This window comes from Homo sapiens, chromosome 2 (assembly GCF_000001405.40).
Source record: "Homo sapiens chromosome 2, GRCh38.p14 Primary Assembly".
NCBI classification, from domain to species: Eukaryota; Metazoa; Chordata; class Mammalia; order Primates; family Hominidae; genus Homo; species Homo sapiens.
The window spans coordinates 139,233,946-139,258,648 of NC_000002.12; the positions used below are offsets into that span (position 1 = coordinate 139,233,946).

General features: G+C 36.2%; 1 long non-coding RNA gene across 2 annotated transcripts in view; it reads left to right on the forward strand.

Moving 5' to 3' along the window:
• Nucleotides 1-727: 727 nt before the first annotated feature.
• The window catches only part of LOC105373643 (uncharacterized), a 144,473-nt gene continuing 120,497 nt past the window's right edge, over nucleotides 728-24,703 (forward strand). For both annotated transcript variants that reach the window (NR_188041.1, NR_188040.1), the window contains exon 1: nucleotides 728-843. This is a non-coding gene — a long non-coding RNA (uncharacterized LOC105373643). The remainder of the gene's footprint in view (nucleotides 844-24,703) is intronic.

Sequence of the window (24,703 nt, forward strand, 5' to 3'; positions counted from 1 at the left end):
GTAAATAATTGTGGTTGTGGTTATCACACAGTGTTTTGTAACAAGGACATTTGGTTGTTTTTATTTTATATTTTTACAACAAAGGTTGCAAAGAGTTATTCACAAATGGCTTCTATCTCTTGCATGAGAATTTCGCAACTGAAAATAGAGCTGTTGGCGGAAGAGTAAGCTCACATTTAGGTTTAATGTATCTTGCCAAATTGCTCTCCAATAACAAAGGTGGTCCCACTGTGTGTCAGCTGGATTGGGGGATATCTGCTTTGTATTGAATTAAAAATAGCATGTTGATCAATCAAAAGTAACCTGAGGGGACTGAGGAAGTGGTTTAAGCAAGACAAATGGTAAACAACTGCCACTGAAAAAAATCTTTTTGATGTTGCAACTGTACAAAGAAAAGACACTGCCTATGATGCCCATGACAAAATGGAGCCGTGTGCTTTCCCTCATGTTGACAGGCATTTCTATAGCAGTTTCAGTCATGCAGAAGCATCAGTTCAATTTTTACCACAATTTTATAAACAAAAGAATGAATCAGAACATACCTAATCGGAAAGTATTTCATGTGATTATTATAAATTATGTTCCTCTGACCCTCCTCGCTCTGCACAGAGCTTCATCTTCTGGAACAGATCCACCAAACGAGAGCCAGAAGATGCAGCAGCCCAGGTCTAATTTGTATGCAGAGACCCTGGTCAGACAGGCAAAATATCTTTGTCCAAAAAACCTCAGAATTGAATATCCAAACCCCTATCTAGTTAGTGTGCTTCTTAGAATACAAATAGAATTACAAAATGTTTCAGTAATCAAAAAGGGACAGCATCGGCAAACAGTTGACATCAAAATGTAAGCATATTTATTTTAAAACTATTTACCCTTTATTATAGCTTTTATTGGAATTTTGGGCTTTATATTTGAAAGTATGTGTGTGTGCATGTGTGTTTGGAGAGCGAGAGAGAGAAAAAGCCTGAAAGGACAACGGAGATATATAGATATGGGCATTGTTGGGTACTGTCAAAGTTAATGTGTACTAATTTCATTAATCAATTGGCAGCATTTGGGGAGCAAAGTTAAATATATGCAGAGATCAGAAAAAAATCACCACATAAAAGCTGTGAACTTACCTAGTTTCTCTTCAGCCATTTTATTTATTCTGTGGACTTGGAAATCTGACTTTAAAAAAAATTTTCTGCATGATATAAACATCAAAATATTTAACAAACATTTATTGACCAATTTCTCTTTATTGCATGCTTCACTTTGTGCAGAAGATTTTATATCAATAACTACAACCAACTGAGCTTTTATTCTCTGTCAAAATATTTGTATACTTTTTCAATAATCCTAAAATAATTCTATAATAACACTGTAAGGATGGAATTATTAATCTTTCTTTTCAGCAAATGAGAAAGTTGAAAAAATATTCAAGGTAATCCCACGGTAAGAAGCAGATCTGATATTCAAAACCAAGACTATCTGATTCCAAAGTTTGTGTTTTTTCGGCATATAATTTTTTTTCTTAGCTGTAAATATATTTCCACCCTTTGTTCAGGCATCTCAGACACAAATGAGGGGAAATATGTAGAACAAAACAGTATTATGGTATACCTTAGCTGAATTTTTGTTTCTTCTCTTGTATCACTCCATTTGTAACAGCAGCTAGGTGATACTGTTAAAAATATAACCTAGATCTTAGGAAACTTCTTCTCAGACTGTCCGGTGCAAGTCCATTCCCACTCAAGTCAAACCCAATGTCCTTCCAATGGGCTACCTGATCCCACAGATCTTCTCATTTTTCTGATCTCCTGTCTTACTCTCCTTTCTGTTATTACTGCTGCAGTTACACTGTCCACCTTGGTGTGCTTTAAACACACAGCCAGCCTCTTGCCTCTGGACTTGCACTGCCTGGTCTTTTGCCAGAAGGTTCTTCCTGCCCAATCTTTCTTCTTCTCTATATCCTCACCTCCATGAAATGTACCATGGGTTTTTATCTTCTTTTTTCACTATGATAACTCCAATCCTAAAGGAATGCTTGGCATACAGAAAGCATGTATTTAGTATGTGTTGGATGAAGATAAATGGATGAACAAGTAATAATCAATGAATACATGAATAAACAAATACAAACATTGATGTAATTAGGGTATGCACAAAAAGTTAAGGGCTCTCCGAGTCTGATCATGAAGGCTAGGCAAGGCTTGACAGAAAAGACACTTCAAACAGGGACCTGAAAAATGAGTTGTGGTTATTCCAGTGACATATTTTAGATGTTTGTCCTCATACAAATCTCATGTTGAATTGCAATTCCCAATGTTGAAGGTGGGGCCTGACAGGAGCTGTTTGATCATGAAAGCCGATCCCTCATGAAGGACTCGGGCCATCCCTTTGGTGACAAGTGAGCTTTTGCTCTGAGTTCACAGGAGATCTGGTCATTTAAAAGTGCGTGGCACTTCCTTCTTTCTCTTGCTCCTGCTCTGGCTATGTGAGTGACTGCTTCTGCTTTGCCTTCCACCATGATTGTAGGCTTCCTAAGGCCTCCCCAAAAGCTGAACAGATGCTAGTACCATGCTTCCTATAAAGTCTGCAGAACCATGAGCCAATGGAAAGTGTTTTATTTATAAATTACACAGTCTTATGTATTTCTTTATAGCAATACAAGACCAGCCTAACACACTTGGTGAATAAGGAAGAAAAGTGACCTGAAGGCAGAATGAAAAACATAAGCGAATGTATAGAGAGTCTTAGAAGAGCATACTTTTTTGGGGAACTACAAGCATGACAATTTAGTATTGAATAATAAACATGAGGCTTAAAGGAAAAAACTCAAATACTATAAGGAAGCAAGATGATGAAGTACCTTGGATGCCATGCATATCAACCAATGTCTTAGCAAGAGACCCTGCGGAGATGACACACTTGTAGATGATACACTCACCAGGTCCTAGAGGACATATTAATGAAGGGGCCTCTTATAAAGGTATGAACAGGTTAAGGGAAACTAATAAGGTATGGTGAAGTACTCCTCAGCTGGCATCACACATAGGCCTAAAATGGAAAGAGAGAAAGTGATAACAAAAGAGTAATTACAGAGAGCTAATTGCAGCTCTAGGAAAGGACTCCCAGTCAGTAGAGAAATACAACCAATTTACTACCTGGGAGAATTAATACCCTAAACTCATTCTTCTCTCACTTCCAATCTCCTGCCATTACCTCTCATTGCTAAACCCAACCAGAAGCCAGAGGGGAAGGAAGCCAACTGATGATGTCAGTATAGATCAGGCTCCCAGGGCACACAGAGCAGGGTGATGAAGGGTAGACCGTGAATCAAAGTGAAATAGGAAACGCCCAGTAGAGGAATAAGAAATTTCACTGCATAGGTGTTAGAGAATCATTAAAAAAATTTTAGGCGGAAGTATTGCAGGATCAGATTTGAGAAAAGGAAAGATGACTCTGGCAAGAGAAAAATAATAAATGTAGACAACTAGTGAGTCAGTAGAGAGGGGACAGTATTAAGTGGGATTACAAAGATCCTGGTGAGAAATTATGAGGATCTGCACAGAGCAATGACTGTTGGCGAAGGAAGGAAAGAACCAAAATCAGAGACATAATAGCAATTACATCACAGCTAAAGGCCTGTCACGAATGTCTGCAGGCAGAACAATGATCAATCCCCTGAATTGTATATTAGCTTACGTGTCTAATATGAAGGATAACTCCTTTTCAGCTTCAGTAAGACTTTGCACCTTGTGTAGACAGGATATTTTCTCTGAAATTCAAACAGTCCAGAAATGATTTCAGTCTAGGCAGAAGGTACCTCTTTAACTAAATATTTGATTTGATTATTGAACTGTGAAAAGTATCCAAGTTCATTTAATTGCTAGCATTTTTCCTAAGGATCAAGAATTAAGGATATTAACTGTTATTGTACCATTAGCTAGTGTGCTAGCTAGTTGTATAGATAGAGATTCTAAGTACATGCAGCAAGTGTTGTTTTTGTACCCATGCTCCTTGTACAAAAACAAAACAAACAAAACAAAATACACAAAAAACACCAAGTCTTCCAAAAACTTGTAAGTTGAAAGAAGGCCTCTAAATGTAGCAAATAATAAACTTTGTCTAAAAGATTCAAATCATAGTAAAAAAAAAAAAAAGAAAAGAAAAGATAAAAAGAGCTTTGAGTTAGGCCAAACTATAAAGCCTGGTCAAGACATGAGAATTGAGAATAATGAGCTGACCTTCTTGACCAAGATTACTTTCAGTGATTGTGGATTTAGCACACAATGCGAAGGGTAAGCAGGTAAGCAGGAGATCACACACTCATGATGCAGACAGGAGCTGGGGCTCCCCAGTGCCTCTCCTGTTTCTTACTGAGGAGTACCTCAATGTTAGGAGCTTCTGCAGCCTTATTCTCCATACCTTGCCCTATGCATCTCTTCTTCAGGGCTGTCAGCTCAGCAGTATATTTTTATAATTGACAATTTCCAACAGGTTACTTGGTGGGATTTCTATTTCTAGCATTAGTGTTAGGAAAAGTGAAGGAATTCTCATCTTAAGTTAAATGTTATTTAACCCCTGGACAACTGTATGTAGTCTTTGATTATCAGTGGTAAACGGTACTAGAATTTCTAATGCTGTTGTTTTGATATTGGACACTTTTACATTATGGATAGTTTGGGGAGGGGTGTATATCAGCTAATTAAACTCTTAGAAAAGTTTTAATTTCCTAATAAGAGCTTAATGAGACAGATATAAGCATAAAACTAGCCAGACTCCTTTACAATTTCAGAATATTCAAAAAGGGATACAAAAATGTAAGGGGTAGGAAAACCAAGGAGGGAGTGTATAACAAATAATTTGGAAAATCCTTGATGTTTCAGTTGCACAGGTGAAACTTTCAGGCACTGTGAGGGTTAATACTGAGTGTCAACTTGATTGGATTGAAGGATACAAAGTATTGATCCTGGGTGTATCTGTGAGGGTGTTGCCAAAGGAGATTAACATGTGAGTCAGTGGGCTGGGAAAGGCAGACCCACCCTTAATCTGGGTGTGCACCACCTAATCAGCTGCCAGCATGGCCAGAATATAAAGCAGACAGAAAAACATGAAAAGACTAGACTGGCTTAGCCTCCCAGCCTACATCTTTCTCCAGTGTTGGATGCTTCCTGCCCTCAAACACTGGACTCCAACTTCTTCAGCTTTGGGACCAGGAATGGCTTCCTTGCTCCTCAGCTTGCAGACAGCCTATTGTGGGACCTTGTGATCGTGTAAGTTAATACTCTTTAATAAACTCCCCTTTATATATGTATATATATATATATATACACACACACACACACACACACACACACACAAACATATATATGTATATATTATATATATAACATATATAAATATGTATTACATATAAATATGTTCATATATTACATATATATGTATATATGTATATCCTGTATATATATCCTGTTAGTTCTGTCCCTCTAGAGAACCTTGACTAATACAGACATGAACCCATTTGGTTTATACTTTCAACTATGCCAGAGGGACCATAAATTCCTGAGGTAAAAGACTTTATCAGATCTTATCTGATATTTTTCCACCTTAGTATACATTATCTCCCCTTCCAACATGACTTTGTTCTTTCAACCCCAGTTAAGTTAGCCCATCAGATGATGCAAATGTACTCTAAGTGTTCTAACTCACCTTAACTCAGCAGAACTCACTGTTAACAGTAGAAAGGAGACTCAAAAATACCTTACAATCAGACTGGCTTTACAAACTGGTATTTCAGTGTCTAATCATTCTATAGAAGACTGTCATAATAGAAATATTTTAGAGAAATTATTAAAATATTCAAAGAGAGTCTATAGTGATGTGCATGGCATACTTTAAGATTCTATTTTAAACCCACAATTCATGGAAGTAGAACATAAATTATGCATCAATGAAAGGGCCACCTTTTTATCTCTCATGAGATCCATTGAATAATCTTGTATATCCATGAATAGGGAAGAGGTGTATGCCTACTGCAGGGTGTCTCCCACCTTGGTGTCCTTCCCAGGCATCTGGGAATTCTGGATAATTCTTAACGTTAGTGCAATGTTTTTTTTGGATATCTGTAGCTTCTTTGGGTCCTCATTATCTGTTGGGATATAGGATGCCACAGAAAAGGAGGGGGATAGAGGCTGACATTTCTGTAAAAGGAAAAGTACGGCACAAGAGAAACAACAACTTTATTCTACTCATACCATTTACAAAGTTCTATTTGACCTTAACAAAGTAGACATGAGTATTGGACAGAAAATTAGACTCAAAGATATTTTATTATCAGAGCTGTTTTTTAGGATTGTTATCCAAGTTCATAATCATTCTACAGAATGTCATCATTCTGAAAGACTCTAGAGAAATGCTATTAACATATTCCAGGAAAGATTTTAACAACTGTGCACAGCAGATTTCAGGATTCTCTCCACTGTATAATGATGCAGAAGGTATCTAGTAAATGTCTTAAAATAGGCATTTTTTTTAAATCAGAAAGCTAATGAATAATTTTCATTATAATTTAAAGAGAAATTAGAAAAGAGAAATAATTTAAAGCCTACTTAATTCACTCTCATTTCTGATAATAAGTCATTCTCCACTGAGCCCTGTCTCTGCCCTTGCTTTTTAAAGGGATGTTTAGTACACAGTCCTTCTGATTGGGTAACCTAACTGGAGTTGTTAGTTAAGTCATGAGAAAAGAAAATGAGGTCAAGATTCTTAAAGACCATTTACTTGCTGATCCAGAAGATCAGAGTTAAAGGGGCACTAAAATATATGAGAGCGTGCTGGTGATTTGATTTAGTGTCTTCTTTTCCCCTCACATTGCATGAGTATCACTCATGAGTCAGAAAAAAAAAATGATCCCAAAGAGAAAGGGCTTTTGGGCATAGGCAAGGACGAGTTTCTACAGGGCACTCTTGTCGGAACTCGGGGACATTAGCTGGGATGGTCTAACATCCTTTCTGTCAATATGAACACACAGACTGCTCACCAATGCTAAAAAAAAGTAATGGGAAGGGTCTCTTGAAGATCTGGATAAGCTCTTGGTAGAACAATAGGCTTGAGCTCAGGTGCTGTCGTCCAGTCATGAGTGCCAGGGTGTTTTCAGGAAGTCAGACTACTATCCTACCTGTAAATCTGCATAGTTGCAGTGAGGCCAGAGTTAGTCCAAGATAAACTATCTCCGGAGTATTCATAACATGCAGGAAGGAATTGAAAATACATGTGCACTGAAGGGAGATCATTATGTCAGCCTTGTATAATTAGTGAATCATTGGGGTTCAATCTTGATAGTTTAAGACAGATTGGAAGATTTCCATATGCCTAGTATATTCCATAAAAGTGAACTATAACAGAGAATCTGCTACAATATGTTTCTCCAATGAGTCAGGCCTGTTTAGGGTAAGCTACACATAAGGTAAAACATGTCGTCTTTGGAAGCATTCAAGCTTGGAATGACTAGGGTTCATGTGTTGATTCTGGTACTTTGTAAGTGAACACCTCAGATGCATTAATTAAACACACCATTAAGAAATTCTTCATCTGTGAAATAAGATTAGTTCCAATTGTTTCCCTGCTGCACATGACATCAGTATTTCTCTTAAAGAAGAAATGTCTTTACTTAGAAACAGACTCTGATTGGGGTAGAGACAGTGAAGCTTTAAAAGCATGATATTGCAGGAGACGAGGGACGAAACTAACAGCTCATCTTCTCTGGTAAGTTGATGAGAATTGCCAAAGGATTTTATTTGTGTAACAGGAAAATATAATGTTTTGTTTTAAATAATATTCTGTATAATCTTGCAATGAAGTGCTTGTCTCCGTTACCCCCATGAATCTCCTTTCTGTAAAAGCCTATTGCAAACTCTAGATATCCTATGAATGGCAGTTTTTTGGAGGTTTTAGGAATGGAATCAAGAAGTAAAAACTGTATCCCAGGAGGAACTCACTAAATTAACAGAATAAAATGCATAACATAAAATTGAGAATTCATGAAGAACATGAAATAACATCTGAAAGTGCTAGAATTAGAAGAAATGTTGGAAAAGGCACGGGCTTTCCATGTGAATAGGATGGAGCTTGAGATGATTCTCCTCCTGAGGTCACAAAGGAAAGGATGACACTGCTGACATCTTGATTAATTAGTTGATATGATATTGTAATCAAATACCAAATTAGATTTCATTACATAATGCATATATTTCTTCAACAACATGGCCACCATCTCCTTTCTCATAAATTTATTGCTTCTTTTTTTCACTTCCCCTGGATTTCTATGCCCATATGCTAAGTATGGCTATTCATGACTTCTACTCTAAGATTCTTCTTGAATCTGCTCTTAGTGATAATGTGCCATTATGAAACTCTCAGAGTCTGTATAATTGGTTAATATCTTCCTCAGAAATTTGTGAGGATTCCCTAAAATAAGATACAGGAAGAAAGCAAGCTGTAAAATACAGTTTTTATATTTAAACAACAGCTCACAATTTTTCTAATAAAAGAATAAACTAAGGCAGAGAATAGTCTCTAAACAACCCCCTCTCCCTGTGGACAATGCAGCTGGAAAAAACCCTAGAGACTCCCCAGCACCGTCTTCATGTGACTCTGTTTAATTGCACACTAGAACTTGAACTCTGTCTTTCCCTGAGCTCTCTCTGCAGGAAGCTGTGTTCCCAGTGCCCGCAGACTGGGATGTGATGGTGGTGTGATGATAGACTAGAGATAGTCCTGGTTCCTAAACCCCATACGTCCAGATTGTCCTTCAAACGTGACTTTCCACTGAGTAGTTACCCATACATAGAGATAGATGCCAGGCATTTAGAGTAAGTGCTTGGATTGGCTAATCTATCTTCATTTGGTTGTCATGGGAGGACTTGAACTATTTCAGAATTTACTGAATGTGAATAATGGCTTGATTTCCCTCATTTCTTTGTATGAGAATGTGGCAACTTCGATTTAAGATGGGTTGAGGGTGGGGTGGGGGGTGAAGCTTGCCTTTCCTCAGAATTTTTTCTGCTGTCGTTTAACTCAATTTCTCCTGATTGTGGTCAATGGCAACGACACATCTCTTTGATATCCTTTTATATATGTGTTGACAGCTTTGATGTTTCCACTTTGTCTTCCTGTATCCCCCAGACTGCGCACATACAGTTCTCTTAACCTTCCCACACAGATCTTATTTTGTAAATTTTCTACCATCTCGTAGCTAGCTTCAAAGCATCCCATCTGTTTCCTCTGAAGAAAATCCATAAAGAAAATCAAAAGGGCAAGTAGAAATAAAAGGGCAAATATATATTTATAGTTTCTTCCATCTACTTCATTTTTCTCATTTGCCCATTAGCAAGAAAGGTGTACAAAAAAGAAATAAACCTGATATTCAAACCAGCAGTTGATCTTGTGCTATGCGACAGCATGGCTAAGCCAGGTGCTTCCTTCTGAAACATTACTACTAAGCTTTGGTGCACAGTACAGTAAATTCAATGCCCGAGTTAAAAAATAAAAAGTTTCTTACTTCATTGGTACAGAGCTCATTGCACTAGATCTAATCTTCTTGATGTCGATATGAACAGGAGTATGGATGACATGTCTTTTTTTAAAACTGTAGTTTAGATAAATACAAGATAACCATAAAACCAAGCTTTACCAAGATTTTTCTGGGAGACTAAATAGATTTTGAAGCCACTCAAGTATTTTGCATCAAGTTGAGTCTTGCCATGAAGCTTACTTAAGATTGAACTACCCACAATGGAAAAGTGTTACATACACACTCATATACACAAACATATAATCTCTACTCATTATTTAGTCCTTCTGTGTCATGTTCAATAATGGATTTATAAGGTGTTGCTCTCTGAGGTTGAGGTGTTGGTTGTTTCTGCCATCTTATTTGTTTGTTTGTTTGCGATGGATTCCTGCTCTGTCACCCAGACCGGAGTGCAATGGCTTGATCTCCTCTCATCGAAACCTCCACCTCCTGGGTTCAAGCAATTCTCGTGTCTCAGCCTCCCAAGCAGCTGAGACAACAGGCGCTTGCCACCACGCCCAGCTAATTGTTGTGTTTTTAGTAGAGATGGGATTTCACCATGTTGGCCAGGCTGGTTCTGACCTCAGATGATTCACTCATCTCAGCCTCCCAAAGTGATGGGATTACAGACATAAGCCACTGCACCAGACCTTGCTAACCCTTTTTTTTTTTTAATGTATTTTACTGGGAATGCTATATACTTCATCTGTGTCCTGATATTATGTTGGTGATATTGTCCAATACCAGTTTAACAACAATAAGAGAAAAATAAAAAATACTGTGTTTTTGACAAAATCAGTGTTGTTAATGTTAATTTACTTAGTGTTGGCATTTCCATTGTGGACTTTCTCCACCAGAGATTTTAAGAACTCTTAGAATAGGAATTTATTTTTTTCATTTCTCTTTTCTAAGAATATGTAAGAATGGCAAGCAAAATCTTTGATTTTGATTATAATACTAGGGTGCTTTCAAGAAATGGGTTAGTATAATTTTGAATTGTTTGAATCAGTACAATGAATACAGAAAAATGAAAGATTAATTCCAGAATTAAATTGATTTGTAGGAAAATAATTCCCTCCCCATTCCACCCTTCCCAAAAATAGCAGATAAGTGAAAACTTACTAATTTACATGATGTTCTATATAACTATGCATAAATTTAGAATATGTTTTTCCCCCAATTTGGTATCAATAAAATTTTTAAGTGATCTTTGTTAACTTATTTGAATGCTCTACAATAAGAAAAATATAAAAGTGAAAACCAAACCTGTGCTAGTTTTTCAAGGTAACTCATCATTTTTCTTACCTTTATGTTACTTCTTTACACTGTGAACATCTGAGATAAATCTAGGTAATATTGTAGTATAGCAGAAATGTGATTATTTAGATAACCTCACTGCTGCAGATCCCATATACCAATGCCTGAAATTGCATTAATGACATGTAATCACTTATTTCTCTATCATAGATAAGGTTTGAAATGTAAATACCTTGGAAGAGGGTATATATTGATTTTAATTTGTGTGAAAATAAATAGGTAGTCTTAGATACTTTTTTGAATGTTTATTTTCAAACAAAGAATAAAGAGAAAAAATACGGGCAAAAGGGTGGAGTGTATCGCAGAAGGAGAAAGAACACAGAGAAACGATCTTGAAGGCACTGAGTTGCTTCTTTTCCTATTCCACATTAATACGAAGGCCACCCTAATGAAGACCCTCTCTCAAAGCTGACCTGGTATATTTTCACTCTACTTGAACCCTCGGGAGTGATGCCACAGATAAGCCATTACCTGCTTTTAAAAGTTAATTTATTTTCTAACTAGAATTTTAAAAATATTCAGACTATTAAACATAGGGCAGTGTGCCATCTGGGACAGCCTGACCCACTATATAAATTCTAGGAGTTGATTAGCCGGAAGATTCTCTTTCTGTTTGGGGTTATTGTAGGCATCAGTACAGGAATATTTTTTCAATAATGAGTAGAATCATGTCTCAATTGTTTACTTGTCAGGATCAACTTGACTGCTTTCTGAAGATCACTGTGACACGGTAAATGTGAGAAAAGTAAAGGAAATTCTCAAAAAGAAATGGTTTAAAGCCTGAGTTTTTGTCAGTCACTTAAAAGTAAAAATAAAATCCATATACATATTTTTAATATGTACAAAATACCAAATTTGATTTTATGCTACACTGAGCATCCTTATGGGATTAAATAGTTTGGCTGGTAATTTTTGATATTACATAATTTTTTTTATTTTAACTTTTTGTGTGTCTGGTTAAAACTCTCAAATGTCATCACATATTTTAACACATTGTCTTGTCCTTATATTATCTCATCATTTCTAAAATCATCAAGAATGAAGAGAATAATTGATTTTCTTAGTCATATTCCCTCCACCCCAAGGGAATGTATAAATGCTTCAACCTTCCATTTTAAAATTTTAGGAAAGTCTTTTAATTATCTCAAACTTGGAACTTAATTAATAATCTTTTACCTCATAATTAGCTCATTGCTTTATCAGATATACATGTATTTGCTAACTCATGATTGGAACATTTGTTCTAGTTATTGTTTTAGGTGCTGCAGAGGAAAGGGTGAATAACACATGCATTCAGCCCTCCATCAGCTTGCAGTCTTTGAGAGAAAAACATTTATGAAAATTATGAAACCGTACTACCACAGTGCTTAAAAAGAAAATCTGTGTGGGATCTTCCTAGAAGAATGTGTACAAATCCGGAGGAAAAGCCATCAAATTCAGTCTCAGGTGTAGTAAACTAGGCTGAAAAAATCTGTAAGGTAAAGTGATGTAAATGACGTCTTCATCTTGAAGTGCAAATGCAAATAAGAGCTGCAGACCAGTTGGGAGGTTACTACAATAGCACAAGAGACAAATGGTAGTATGTTTCATACCATGGTGATACTTAAGCTGGGGAGATTTATACTGAGATAGCTTTGGTAATGCATTCATTAAGTCTCAGTTAATTGGATTCAAGGGGTACATAGACGGAGTCTCGCTCTGTCGCCCAGGCTGGAGTGCAGTGGCGTAATCTCCACTCATTGCAAGCTCCACCTCCCGGGTTCACGCCATTCTCCTGCCTCAGCCTCCCGAGTAGCTGGGACTACAGGCGCCCGCCACCATGCCCGGCTAATTTTTTGTATTTTTAGTAAAGACGGGGTTTCACCGTGTTACCCAGGATGGTCTCGATCTCCTGACCTCGTGATCTGCCCGCCTCGGCCTCCCAAAGTGCTGGGATTACAGGCGTGAGCCACCGCGCCCAGCCTCAAGGGGTACATATTCTTAATTAAATAATATAATCATAAATAAGCAGAATTCAAGCTCTGAGTTTCTAGTATTTATTAAGAAACTATGCTATATTATGCACAGAAATGTTTATTATGAAATAGGAAATATAATATGAATACTTACTCAGAATATAATAAATGATCATCATAAGTAGGTTCAAAAGCTATAAATCTCCTATAATTTCTCCAACCTCTAGATGGACTCTGAGGCAAGATGGCTGTGAATGACTACAGAGCTTTCTTTCTTTTGGGCAACCTATGTTGGAAAATTTTGTTAAATACATTTTTATCTTGGACAGTTAAAACCCTAAATAGGCTGGACATGATGGCTCACGCCTGTAATCCCAGCACTTTGGGAGGCCAAGATGGGCAGATCACCTGAGGTCAGGAGTTCGAGACCAGCCTGCTCAACGTGGCGAAACCCTGTCTCTACTGAAAATACAAAAATTAGCTGGGCATGGTGACGGGCGCCTGTAATCCCAGCTATTTGGGAGGCTGAGGCAGGAGAATCGCTTGAAGCCAGGAGGCAGAGTTTGCAGGGAGCCGAGATAGCATCACTGCACTTCAGCCTGGGCAACAAGAACGGGGCTCTGTCAAAACACAAAACAAAACAAACAAACAAAACCCTAAATAAACAAGCTTCTTTGTGGGAAAAATATATTTTTTATCTTGGACAGCTAAAATCCTAAATAAATTTATTTGTAGAAAAATAAACTTTAGTATATTTTAAAAATTTCTTTATGACTATCAAATAAAAGTACATATACTAATTATAAATAATTTAAACAATAGACCAAAGTTGAAGGATAGTATTAAAAATAATTTATCTCTTAATAAAATTTACTTCAGGTATATTTATATTGATGGAGAGAGAATAAAAGAGAGTAAGAGAAAAAGAAAGTTATACAGACACTCAATATCGAATCATATCATACTAAATAAAATGTATTCATTTTAAGTCTTCCCAAGTTTACCAAGAAAAAGAGAAATTATAGTGAAATTAAAAACATTGCTGAGCTTTTAATAATTAATTATTCATCTAAGAAATGAAACAAAACAAAACAAACTCCGTCAGATCTTTGGAAAGTTCATCCTACAAGTTTCTGGGAACTTTATCATTTGGCAATTATTTCTTCATCCAGAAACAGATATGCTTGATTATTCTTTGCATTCTTTGTGCATGACATTTCAATTTGTTAACTGCTTTGTCACATCACTTATCTATTTATGCGTTAATAAAACACCTTGTTGGGCATGATGGCTCACGCCTGTCATCCCAGCACTTTGGGAGGCTGAAGTGGGTGGATCACTTAAGCCCAAGAGGTCGAGACCAACCTGGCCAAAATGGTGAAATCCCGCCTCTACTAAAAATACAAAAATTAACCCGGCATAGTGGCACGCACGTGTAGTCCCAGCTACTCTGGAGGCTGAGAAAGGAGAATCGCTTGAACCCTCCCAGCCCCCAATAAAAACACCTTAAAGCAAAACCCAACAGTTTTGCACAATGGTTGAACTAATTTAAATTCCCACTGACAGTGTAAAAGTGTTCCTTTTTCTCCACAATCTCACCAGCATCTGTTGTTTCTTGACTTTTTAATAATCGCCATTCTGACTATGAGATGGTATCTCATTGTGGTTTTGATTTGCATTTCTGTAATTATCAGTGATGTTGAGATTTTTTTCATGTTTGTTGGCCACATGAATATCTTCTTTAGAGAAATGTCTGTTCATGTCCTTTGCCCACTTTTTAATGGGGTTGTTCATTTTTTTCTTGTAAATTTTTTTAAGTTTCTTGCAGATTCTGGATATTAGACTTTTGTTAGATGCATAGATTGCAAAAGTTTTCTCCCACTCTGTAAGTTGCCCGTTCTCTCTGATGATAGTTTCTTTTGCTGTGCAGAAGCTCTTTTATTTAGTTAGATCCCATTTATCAATTTTGGGTTTTGTTTCAATTGCTTTTGGTGATTTCGTCATGAAATCTTTGCCCATGCCTATGTTCTGAATGGTATTGCCTAGGTTTTCTTCTAGGGTTTTTATAGTTTTGGGTTTTACAGTTAAGTCTTTAATCCATTTTCAGTTAATTATTGTATAAGGTGTAAGAAAGGGGTCCAGTTTCAGTTTTCTGCATATGGCTAGCCAGTTTTCCCAGCACCTTTTATTAAATAGGGAATCCTTTCCCTATTGCTTGTTTTTGTCAAGTTTGTCAAAGATCAGATGGTTGTAGATGTGTGGTCTTCTGAATTCTTTATTCTGTTCCATTAGTCTGTTTTTGTACCAGTACTATGCTATTTTGGTTTCTCCAGCCTTGTAGTACAGTTTGAAGTCCAGTAGTGTGATGCCCCCAGCTTTGTTCTTTTTGATTATGTTTGGCTTGACTATGAACACTTTTTTTGTTCCATATGAGTTTTTGAATAGTTTCTTCTAATTCTGTGAAGAATGTCAATGGTAGTTTAATGGGAAAAGCATTGAATCTATAGATTACGTTGGGCCATATGGCCATTTTCATGATATTCATTCTTCCTATCCGTGAGCATGGAATGTTTTTCCATTTGCTTGTGTCCTCTCTTATTTCCTTGAGGAGGGGTTTGTAGTTCTCCTGGAAGAGATTCTTCACTTCCTTTATTAGCTCTTTTCCTAGGTGTTTCATTCTCTTTGTAGCAATTGTGAATGGGAGTTCATTTATGATTTGGCTCCCTGCTTACCTGTTGTTGGTGTATAGGAATGCTTGTGACTTTTGCATATTGATTTTGTATCCTGAGACTGCTGAATTTGCTTATCAGCTTAAGAAGCTTTAGGGCTGAGATGATGGAGTTTTCTAGATATAGGATCATGTGATCTGCAAACAAAGACAATTTGACTTCCTCTCTTCCTATCTGAATACCCTTTAAAAATAACATTTTTAAAATAAAAATTAAATTAAAAATTAAAAAATCAGAGTCTTTTGAGCCAGATCCAGTTGACTACACATTCCAGATCCACAAATTACTTATTATGTTGCTTTGGGAAAGTCACTTCATATCTCTAAACTTACATTTCTTCATATGTAAAGAATAGCAGTACTACTTTATTGGGTTTTTGGGATGATTGAGGAGATAATTTATGTGAAATGCTTAAAATAGGGTGTGCATTATGCACATTCTATTAATGTTACATATCAGAGTAGAGTTTATATGTTTATTTCCTACTATCTTTCAATGGGCATGCCCTCAGTATAACATTATATTCCACAGATGTTTAATTTTATGTCTTTTTTCAAGAGCAGTTAGGTAGTGAACAACACGCTGAAGAATTTGATATGGATTGCTAAATGCCCATGTGAAACATAGCTTATAGGAGGCTGAGGCAGGTGGATCGCTTGATGCCAGGAGTTAGAGACCAGACTGGTAACATGGTGAAACCCATTCTCTACTAAAAATACAAAAATTAGCTGAGTGTGGTGACACATACCTGTAGTCCCAGAAATACCATTTGATGCAGCAATCCCATTACTGATTATATACCCCCCAAAAGTATAAACCATTCTATAACAAAGATGCATGCATGTGTATCTTCATATCAGAGCTACTAACAATAGCAAAGGCATGGAAGCAAACCAAATGCCCATCAGTGATAGACTGGATAAAGAAAATATGGTACACATACACCATAGAATACTATGCAGCCATAAAAAGAAATGAGATCATGTCCTTTGCAGGGACATGGATGGAACCAAAAGCCATTATCTTCAGCAAACTAACGCAGGAACAGAAAACCAAACACCACATGTTCTCACTTATAAGTGGGAGCTGAACAATGAGATCACATGGACACAAAGAGGGGAACAACACACACTGGGGCCTGTCAGGGGGTGTGGTGGGGGGAGGGAAAGCATTAGGAAAAGTAGCTAATCCAAGCTGGACTTAGTACCTAGGTGATGAGTTGATAGGTGCAGCAAACCTCCATGGCACACATTCACCTGTGTAACAAACCTGCACATCCTGTACCCCAGAAACTTAAAATAAAAATAAAATTTTTAAAAAACCAGTTTATTATTTCTCACAGTTCTGTCAGTGAGAAGGGCATTCTTCTGCTAGTTTCCCGTGGACTCACACATGTGGCACCCTTCAGCTGGAGAATCCACTGAACCTCTCTCCTCATGTGGTCATTGTTCCTTAAGGCCACTGGACAAGACTGGAATTTCTCAGCTGGTGGCATCTGTAGTACCAGAGTGCAGTCCATAATGTGCAAACACTTACCAAGCCTCTGCTTGCGTCATGTTTGCCCATGTCTCATTGGTCAAGCAAGTCCCATGGCCAAACCCAGGATACTACGAAAGGGACTACATAAGGGCAAGAATATTGAAAGTGGGATTGATTGGTGGGACAACTGATGATATAATCTACCTCCTTTTTAATAAATAGTACACGCACATTCTAATTCAAATTTTAAAGTAAGATAGACTGTGCATCTTTGCCACTTTAAAAAATATCTTAGATAGGTAAGCTCTTTTTTTTTTTTTTTTAGTTTCCTTTAAAAAGGAGTTAAAGCAAACTGCTGTCAGTCATCTGGGTTACCAAAGAGGGTATCTCATCGTTGTCTCATCTCTTTAGAAAAGGCCATCTGTCTGCACACCTTCAGTGGAGGGTCTCAGCATATCTTGATGTAGGACAGAGTGAAGTTTTCCAAGCTATGTTTTTTTTATTGAAAATATTAAAATATGACAATCTTCTTCTTCTTCTTCTCCTTCTCCTTCTTTTTTTATTGAGACGGGGTCTTGCTCTGTCACTTAGGCTGGAGTGCAGTGGCACGATCTCGGCTCACTGCAATCTCTGCCTCCCAGGCTCAAGCCATCCTTCCACTTCAGCCTCCCAAGTAGCTGAGACTATAGGTATTTTCCACCATGCCCAGCTTTCACCATGTTGCCCAGGCTGGTCTCAAATTTCTAGCCTTGAGTGAGCCACCCATCTCCATCTCCTATAAACTATGTTTTAATTTAAGATAATATCCATTGATCACTGTTATGAAGGTTAGGGAAGTGATCCTCTTCCAATTCTTCCGCCACTTCTTTCTTTACTTCCTGATTCTTATTAGTTATATTACCATTATTACTCAATTATATATATCATTAATATTCTCTAAATTATGTTCTCGAAGTTTGTAATTTTACTTAGCATTTCTTTCAGAAAGTTTAGTATAGAAGAGCCCAAGCCCTGAAGTCGGAATACTTGGGAGTAAAATCCCTCTTCCACTTCTTCTTAACTGTTTATATTTGGATATACACACACACACACACACACACACACACACAGAATGATGCATGCATATATATAGCTAGATATAATTGTGTTGATATACATAGATATGTATATATTTGTGTGTACATGTACACATAAAGTTTTTCCATCATAATAAGTGATCAAATACTATTCTATATTTCCATTATAGTGTGCAGACAACTGATTCTTACCAGTGGCTCTTGTACCCCAATACTTTTTACCTTTAAATATGTTTAATTTGATTCATGTCTTAATTGGTTGAATTTCAACTTTAAGAAATTTACCCAAAGAATACTCATAATGGCAGCTATCATATTACCTTGTATATGATGGGAGCTTGGTAAATATTTGTTGAATAAATTAAAGCTGGATATTACCTGTATTGCTTCATGGCATAGATATTTTATGTTTTCCTTTTTTATTTGACTTACATCTTAATTGGATATGATATTTGCAGTTCAAACTTTATTTCCTTGAGAAATTTGTAGACATTTTTGCTATTGAATTTTAGTATGTGGTAGTTTGAGTCAAGCCAGATTTTTTCTTTTTTTCTTGCAGATAGTTTGGGTTTTTTAGCCTAAATGTTTGAAGAATTATTTTTTAATGTTGGAAGTTTCCCAATTTAACTATTATGCATCTCATTGTTGAGCAATCTGTATCACTTATTTCTTCTTCTTTTTTTTTTTTTTTTTTTTTTGACAGTCTTGCTTGCTCCCTCACCCAGGCTGGAGTGCCGTGGCGCGATCTCGGCTTGCTGCAAACTCCGCCTCCCAGGTTTAAGCGATTCTCCTGCCTCAGACTCTCGAATAGCTGGGATTACAGTCATGCTCCACAACACCCAGCTAATTTTTGTATTTTTAGTAGAGACGGGATTTCACCGTGTTGGCCAGCCTGGTCTTGAACTCCCTACCTCAAGCGATCTGCCCACCTGGGCCTCCCAATGTGCCGGGATTAGAGGCATAAACCACCATGCCCAGCCTATATCAATTATTTTTTCTGAAACATAGATTATCTTTTCTTCTGAAGACTGGCCTTTTTCTGTCATAAAATGTTTCTGGTAACAAATTTTTCAGTTAATATCTGCCCATTTGTTGGGCGTTAGGCCTCAGAAACACCAGTTGTCTTTGTGTTGGGTCCTTTCTGCCTCTTCTTCATAACTACATTTTCTCTGTTAAAATCTTAGGCCAGGCACAGTGACTCATGCCTATAATCCCAGCACTTTGGGAGGCTGAGGCAGGCAGATTACCTGAGGTCAGGAGTTCGAGATCAGCCTGGATAACATGGTGAAACCCCGTCTCTATCTAAAATATGAAAAAATTAGCAGGGCATGGTGATGGGAGCCTGTAATCCCAGCTTCTCGGGAGGCTGAGGCAAGAGAATCGCTTGAACCCAGGAGGCGGATGTTGTAGTGAGCTGAGATCATGCCACTGCACTCCAGCATGGACAACAGAGTGAGACTTCATCTCAAAACAAAACAAAACAAAACAAAACCCTTATTAACAGCCTATTAATAGAAACTGCATGAAGCATTTCTTCATGTTAGAATTATGACTTTCAGCCTTGTCTCTTTGTTATTTTAAAACTATTTATTAGGCTTTAAAAACAATACTCTTATATTTTCAATTAGCAATCTCTTCTATTATCTTTATGTTGTTTTTTGCATAGTTTTTAGTCCTTATTTTAGTTAGATTGTTTTTATTAAAATTTCCTATGACTTAGTGAACTTCTGAGTGATGTTTTTGCTTCTCATGTTAAGTTTTGATCTTTGATATACTTGCAGAATGTCATGCCGTTTCTCATCAACTTGCTCATGCTTATTAAATTCTCCTGCAATTGTATTTGCTGTGTAAAGTGTGGCAGTTTTCTAAAATTTATCTTTATTTTGTTTGAGAAGACTTTGATTCCCCACTAATTTTAGTTTGAGAGTAAGGAAATTTATTGTTCTTTCTACTCTTTTTCCTTTCTTCACTTATTTGGGTCAGAGGAAGCCTCATTGAATGCCAGGACTTTCACCATTACCTAGTACGAATTGTCTATCCTACTAGTGGTAGTGGAGACCATTTAGGAAGCAATGCTAAATGTGTATGCTCAAAACAGTAGAACTACAAAATAGATGAAGAAAACCTGAGAGGACTGAAAGAATAAACAAATGCACGACTATAATTGGAGAAGTTAACAACTGGTAGACCCAAAATAGGAAAGGATGCAGAATAACTCAGTAACACCATCAAATAAAAAGTATTTAATGAACATTTTTAGAGCACTCCACCGAACAGCATCAGAATACACATTTCTTTCAAGTGTCCAGGAAAGATATGCCAAGATAAATCACATCCTGGGGCATGAAACAAACCTCAACAAATTTAAAAGAATTGAAAGCATACAGAGTACGTTCTTTAAACACCTTGAAATCAATAACAAAGATAAAGGATAAATCTTCAAATGCTAGAAATTAAACAATATACATCTAAATAATCCATGAATAAACAAGGAAGTCTCAATGGAAATAAAAAATTACATTGCCTGAATGAAAATAAAAATAAAAAATATTTAAATTTGTAGGGCAAAGTTAACCGGTATTGGGACGAAAATTTACACCACTGAATGCATACATTAGTAAAGAGAAAATGCCTTAAATCAATAGTCTAAACTCCCACCTCAAGAACCTAATAAATAAATAAATAAGTAAGTAAAATAAACCCCGACCAATCAGAAGGAAAAAAGAAATGATAAGGAAGGGAGATAGCAGAAATTAATGAAATTGAAACAAAAAATAAATAACAGAGAGAAACAACGAAACAGCTAGCTGGTTCTTAAAAAGATTGATAAAATTCACAAACCACTACTAAGACAGAGAAAAAAGAGAGTAGAAAAAATTACCAGTATCACAAATGAAACAGGGACATCACTATAGACTTTACAGACACCAAAAGGATAACAAAGAAATACTTTATAACTCTATAAATGTGAATTTAGCAATTTTGGTGAAATGAGCTAGTTCCTAGAAAAACACAAACTACTGCAATTCATGCAATATAAAATCAATAAGTTAAATAGTCCTATAACTGTTAAGGAAATTAAAATTTTAATTTAAAAAATACACCAAAAAATCTAGGTTCAGAAGGTTTCATTGAAGAATTATTTCAAATGTTTAAAAAATTAATATCAATTCTATACAATCTCTTTCTGAAAATAAGAGTAAAGAATACTCCAAATTCATTTTATTAAGCTAGAATTATCCTGAAGCCAAAACCATACAAAGACATAGAAAATACAAAGACAAAAGAAAATAGAAACTACAGACCACTATCTGTCTTGAATATAGACACAAAAATCCTGAGTAAAATATTAGCAAATATAAATCAGTAATATATTAAAAAAAACCATGATTAAGTGGATTTTAATCTAGAGATACAAGGCTGGCTTGATTTTGAAAATAAAGTAATGTAAACCACCATATTAACAAGCTAAAGCAGAAAACTCTCATGTTCATATCAGTTGATTCCAAATATATACATACATGTATGTGTGTAAGTGTTTCAATGTTTTTGCCAAATTCAACATTAATCATGATATAAACTCTCAGAAAAATGGGAATAGAGAACTTCCTGAACTTTATAGAGAACATCTATAAAAAACCTGCAGTTAACATCTACCAATGGTAAAAGACTGAATGTTCTCTCCTCAGATAAACAGCAAGGCTAGCGTGTCTGCTTTTATTCAGCCATTCTTATTTAACATAGGACAGGAAGTTCTAGCCAGTACAATAGAGAAAAGAAAGGAATAAAAAGCATGTTCATTGGAAAAGACAAAATAAACAGTGTCCATTTGCAGATGACATATTTGCCTACATAGAAGATCTCAAGAAATTGTGAAAAACGGCCGGGTGCAGTGGCTCACGCCTGTAATCCCAGCACTTTGGGAGGCTGAGGCGGGCAGACCACGAGGTCAGGAGATCGAGACCATCCTGGCTAAGACGGTGAAACCCCGTCTCTACTAAAAATACCAAAAATTAGCTGGGCATGGTGGCGGGCGCCTGTAGTCCCAGCTACTCGGGAGGCTGAGGCAGGAGAATGGCGTGAACCCGGGAGGTGGAGCTTGCAGTGAGCCGAGATTGCGCCACTGCACTCCAGCCTGGGCGACAGAGCGAGACTCCGTCTCAAAAAAAAAAAAAAAAAAAAAAGAAATTATGAAAAACACTCCTAGAACGAATAGGTGATTTCAGTAGTGTTACAGAATGCAAGATAAACATACAAAGCTGAACTGAACTTTTATATACCAGTAATAGACATGTTGACAATGAAATTAAAATGTCATTTTCAATCACTCAAGAAAAGAAAATACTTACGAGCAAATCTAACAAAACATGAGCAGGAGTGTATGCGGCAAACTGGAATGTTGATGAAAGAAATCAAAGGAAATGTAAGTAAATATAGAGGGATTTCATAGATTATAAGACTCAACATCCAGCCTGTGCAACATTGTGAAACCCTGTATCTACAAAAAATACAAAAATTAGCTGGGCATGGTGGCATGCACCTGTCTGTAGTCCCGGCTCTTCAGGATGCTAACGTGGGAGGATCACTTGACCTTGGGAGGTTGAGGCTGCAGTGAGCCTGACCACACCACTGCACTCCAGGCTGAAAGACAGAGTAAAACCCTGTTTCAAAAAAAAAAAAAAAAAAAAAAAGATTCAACATAGTAAAGATGACAATTTCCCCAAATATATATATATATAGGTTTTAAATAATTCTTATCGAAATCTCACCAAGATTTTTGATGATATAGAAAATATAATTCTAAAATTTATATTAAAAGACAAAGAAGCTTTAATAGCTAAAACAATTTTGAAAAAAAAGAAAAAAAATCAAGTGGGAGGAATCCTTCGACCTAAGATGCATTTTATAGCTACACTAATCAAGACTATGTAGTATTAGTGGAATGAAATACACAGAGACAAATGGAGTGAAACAGAGAATGCAGAAATACAGTATATTTCCATATATATATACCCAATTAATTTATATATATATACACCCAATTAATTTATATATATATATATACACCCAATTAATTTTTGACAGAGATGCAGAAGTACTTCAATGGAGAAAAGACAACCTTTTCAGCAAATGATGCTGGAATAATTGGACATCCATAGGCAAAACAAACAAAAAGACCTTGGGAGAAGTCTCATGCTTTATATGTAAAAACAAAACAAAACAAAACAAACAAAAAACAAAAACCTCCAAATAAATTCATGGACTTCAATGTAAAATATAAAACTAAAATAGTTTTGATTTAAAAAAAAACCCTAGAAGAAAATATTCAGGATCTAGAGGTTGGCAGAGTTCTTAGCCTTGGTACTAAAAGCACAATTCATGAGAAAAAGTTGAACAATTGAACTTGATGAAAATTAAAAACTTTTACTCTGTTAAAGCCCCCATTAATGGGTGAAAACACAGAGTGGGTAAAAATTCTTGCAAAGTACATATCTGACAAAAAGCTAGTGTGCAGAATATATTAACTGCTCTTAAAAGTCAATGGGAAAATAACAATCTGATTAGAAAATGGGCCAAAGATATGAAGAGAAATTTCATTGGTGAAAATACACAGATATAATTAAGCACATGAAAAAATGTTCAACCTTATAAGCCATTAGAGAAATGCAAACTAAAACCACAATGAGATATCTCTATACACATATCAAGGTGGCTAAAATAAGAAAATAGTGATAAATCATGGCAAGGATACCAAAAAAACTCATCACTCACATATTGCTGTCACTCTGGAAAATAGTTTAGCAATTTTTTAAAGAAAACTGAACGTGCAACCAGAAGCTGCACTACTCTGCTTTATCTCCAAGAAATGAAGACCTATGTTCACACAAAAACCTGGACTTGGATGTTTATAGCAGCTTTATTTATAATAGCTCCAAACCAGAAAATATCCAGATATTCTTTAACAGGTAAAGGGTTAAATAAATATGGTATTTCCATACTCTGGAATACTCAGTAATAAAAAGGAATAAACTCATGATACACAGAACAACATGGATGAATGTAAAGATAATTATCCTAAGTGAAGAAGAGTCCTTCTCAAAAGGTTGCATAGTGTAATTTCTTTTACACAGCATTTTTGAATTGGCAAAATTATAAAAATGGAGAAGAGATTAGTGGTTAACAGGTGCTAAAGAAGTGGTCCAGGTGAAAGGAGAGTAGGTTTGGCTACAAAAGAGCTACATGAAATTTCGTGTGTTGATGAAAATATTGTGTATTTAACTGTATTCATGTCATTATCCTGTTTGTGATATTGTATCTTTCAATATGTTACCATTAGGGAAACTGGATTAGGGTACAAGAAATCTGTCTGCATTATTTCTTGATGATTACAAGTAAATTTACAATTATCTTAATTAAATTAAGTAAATTAATTGAAAGCTTAATTAGAAAGAACACAACACAGGACTTATGAGATAAACAGGTTGAGACACAACACTCCAAAACTTAGTAACATATAATAAAGATAGGAACCTAATTAAAATAGTAGCAGTTTTACACATTTTAAGTGGTCACGAAATACATAAACTC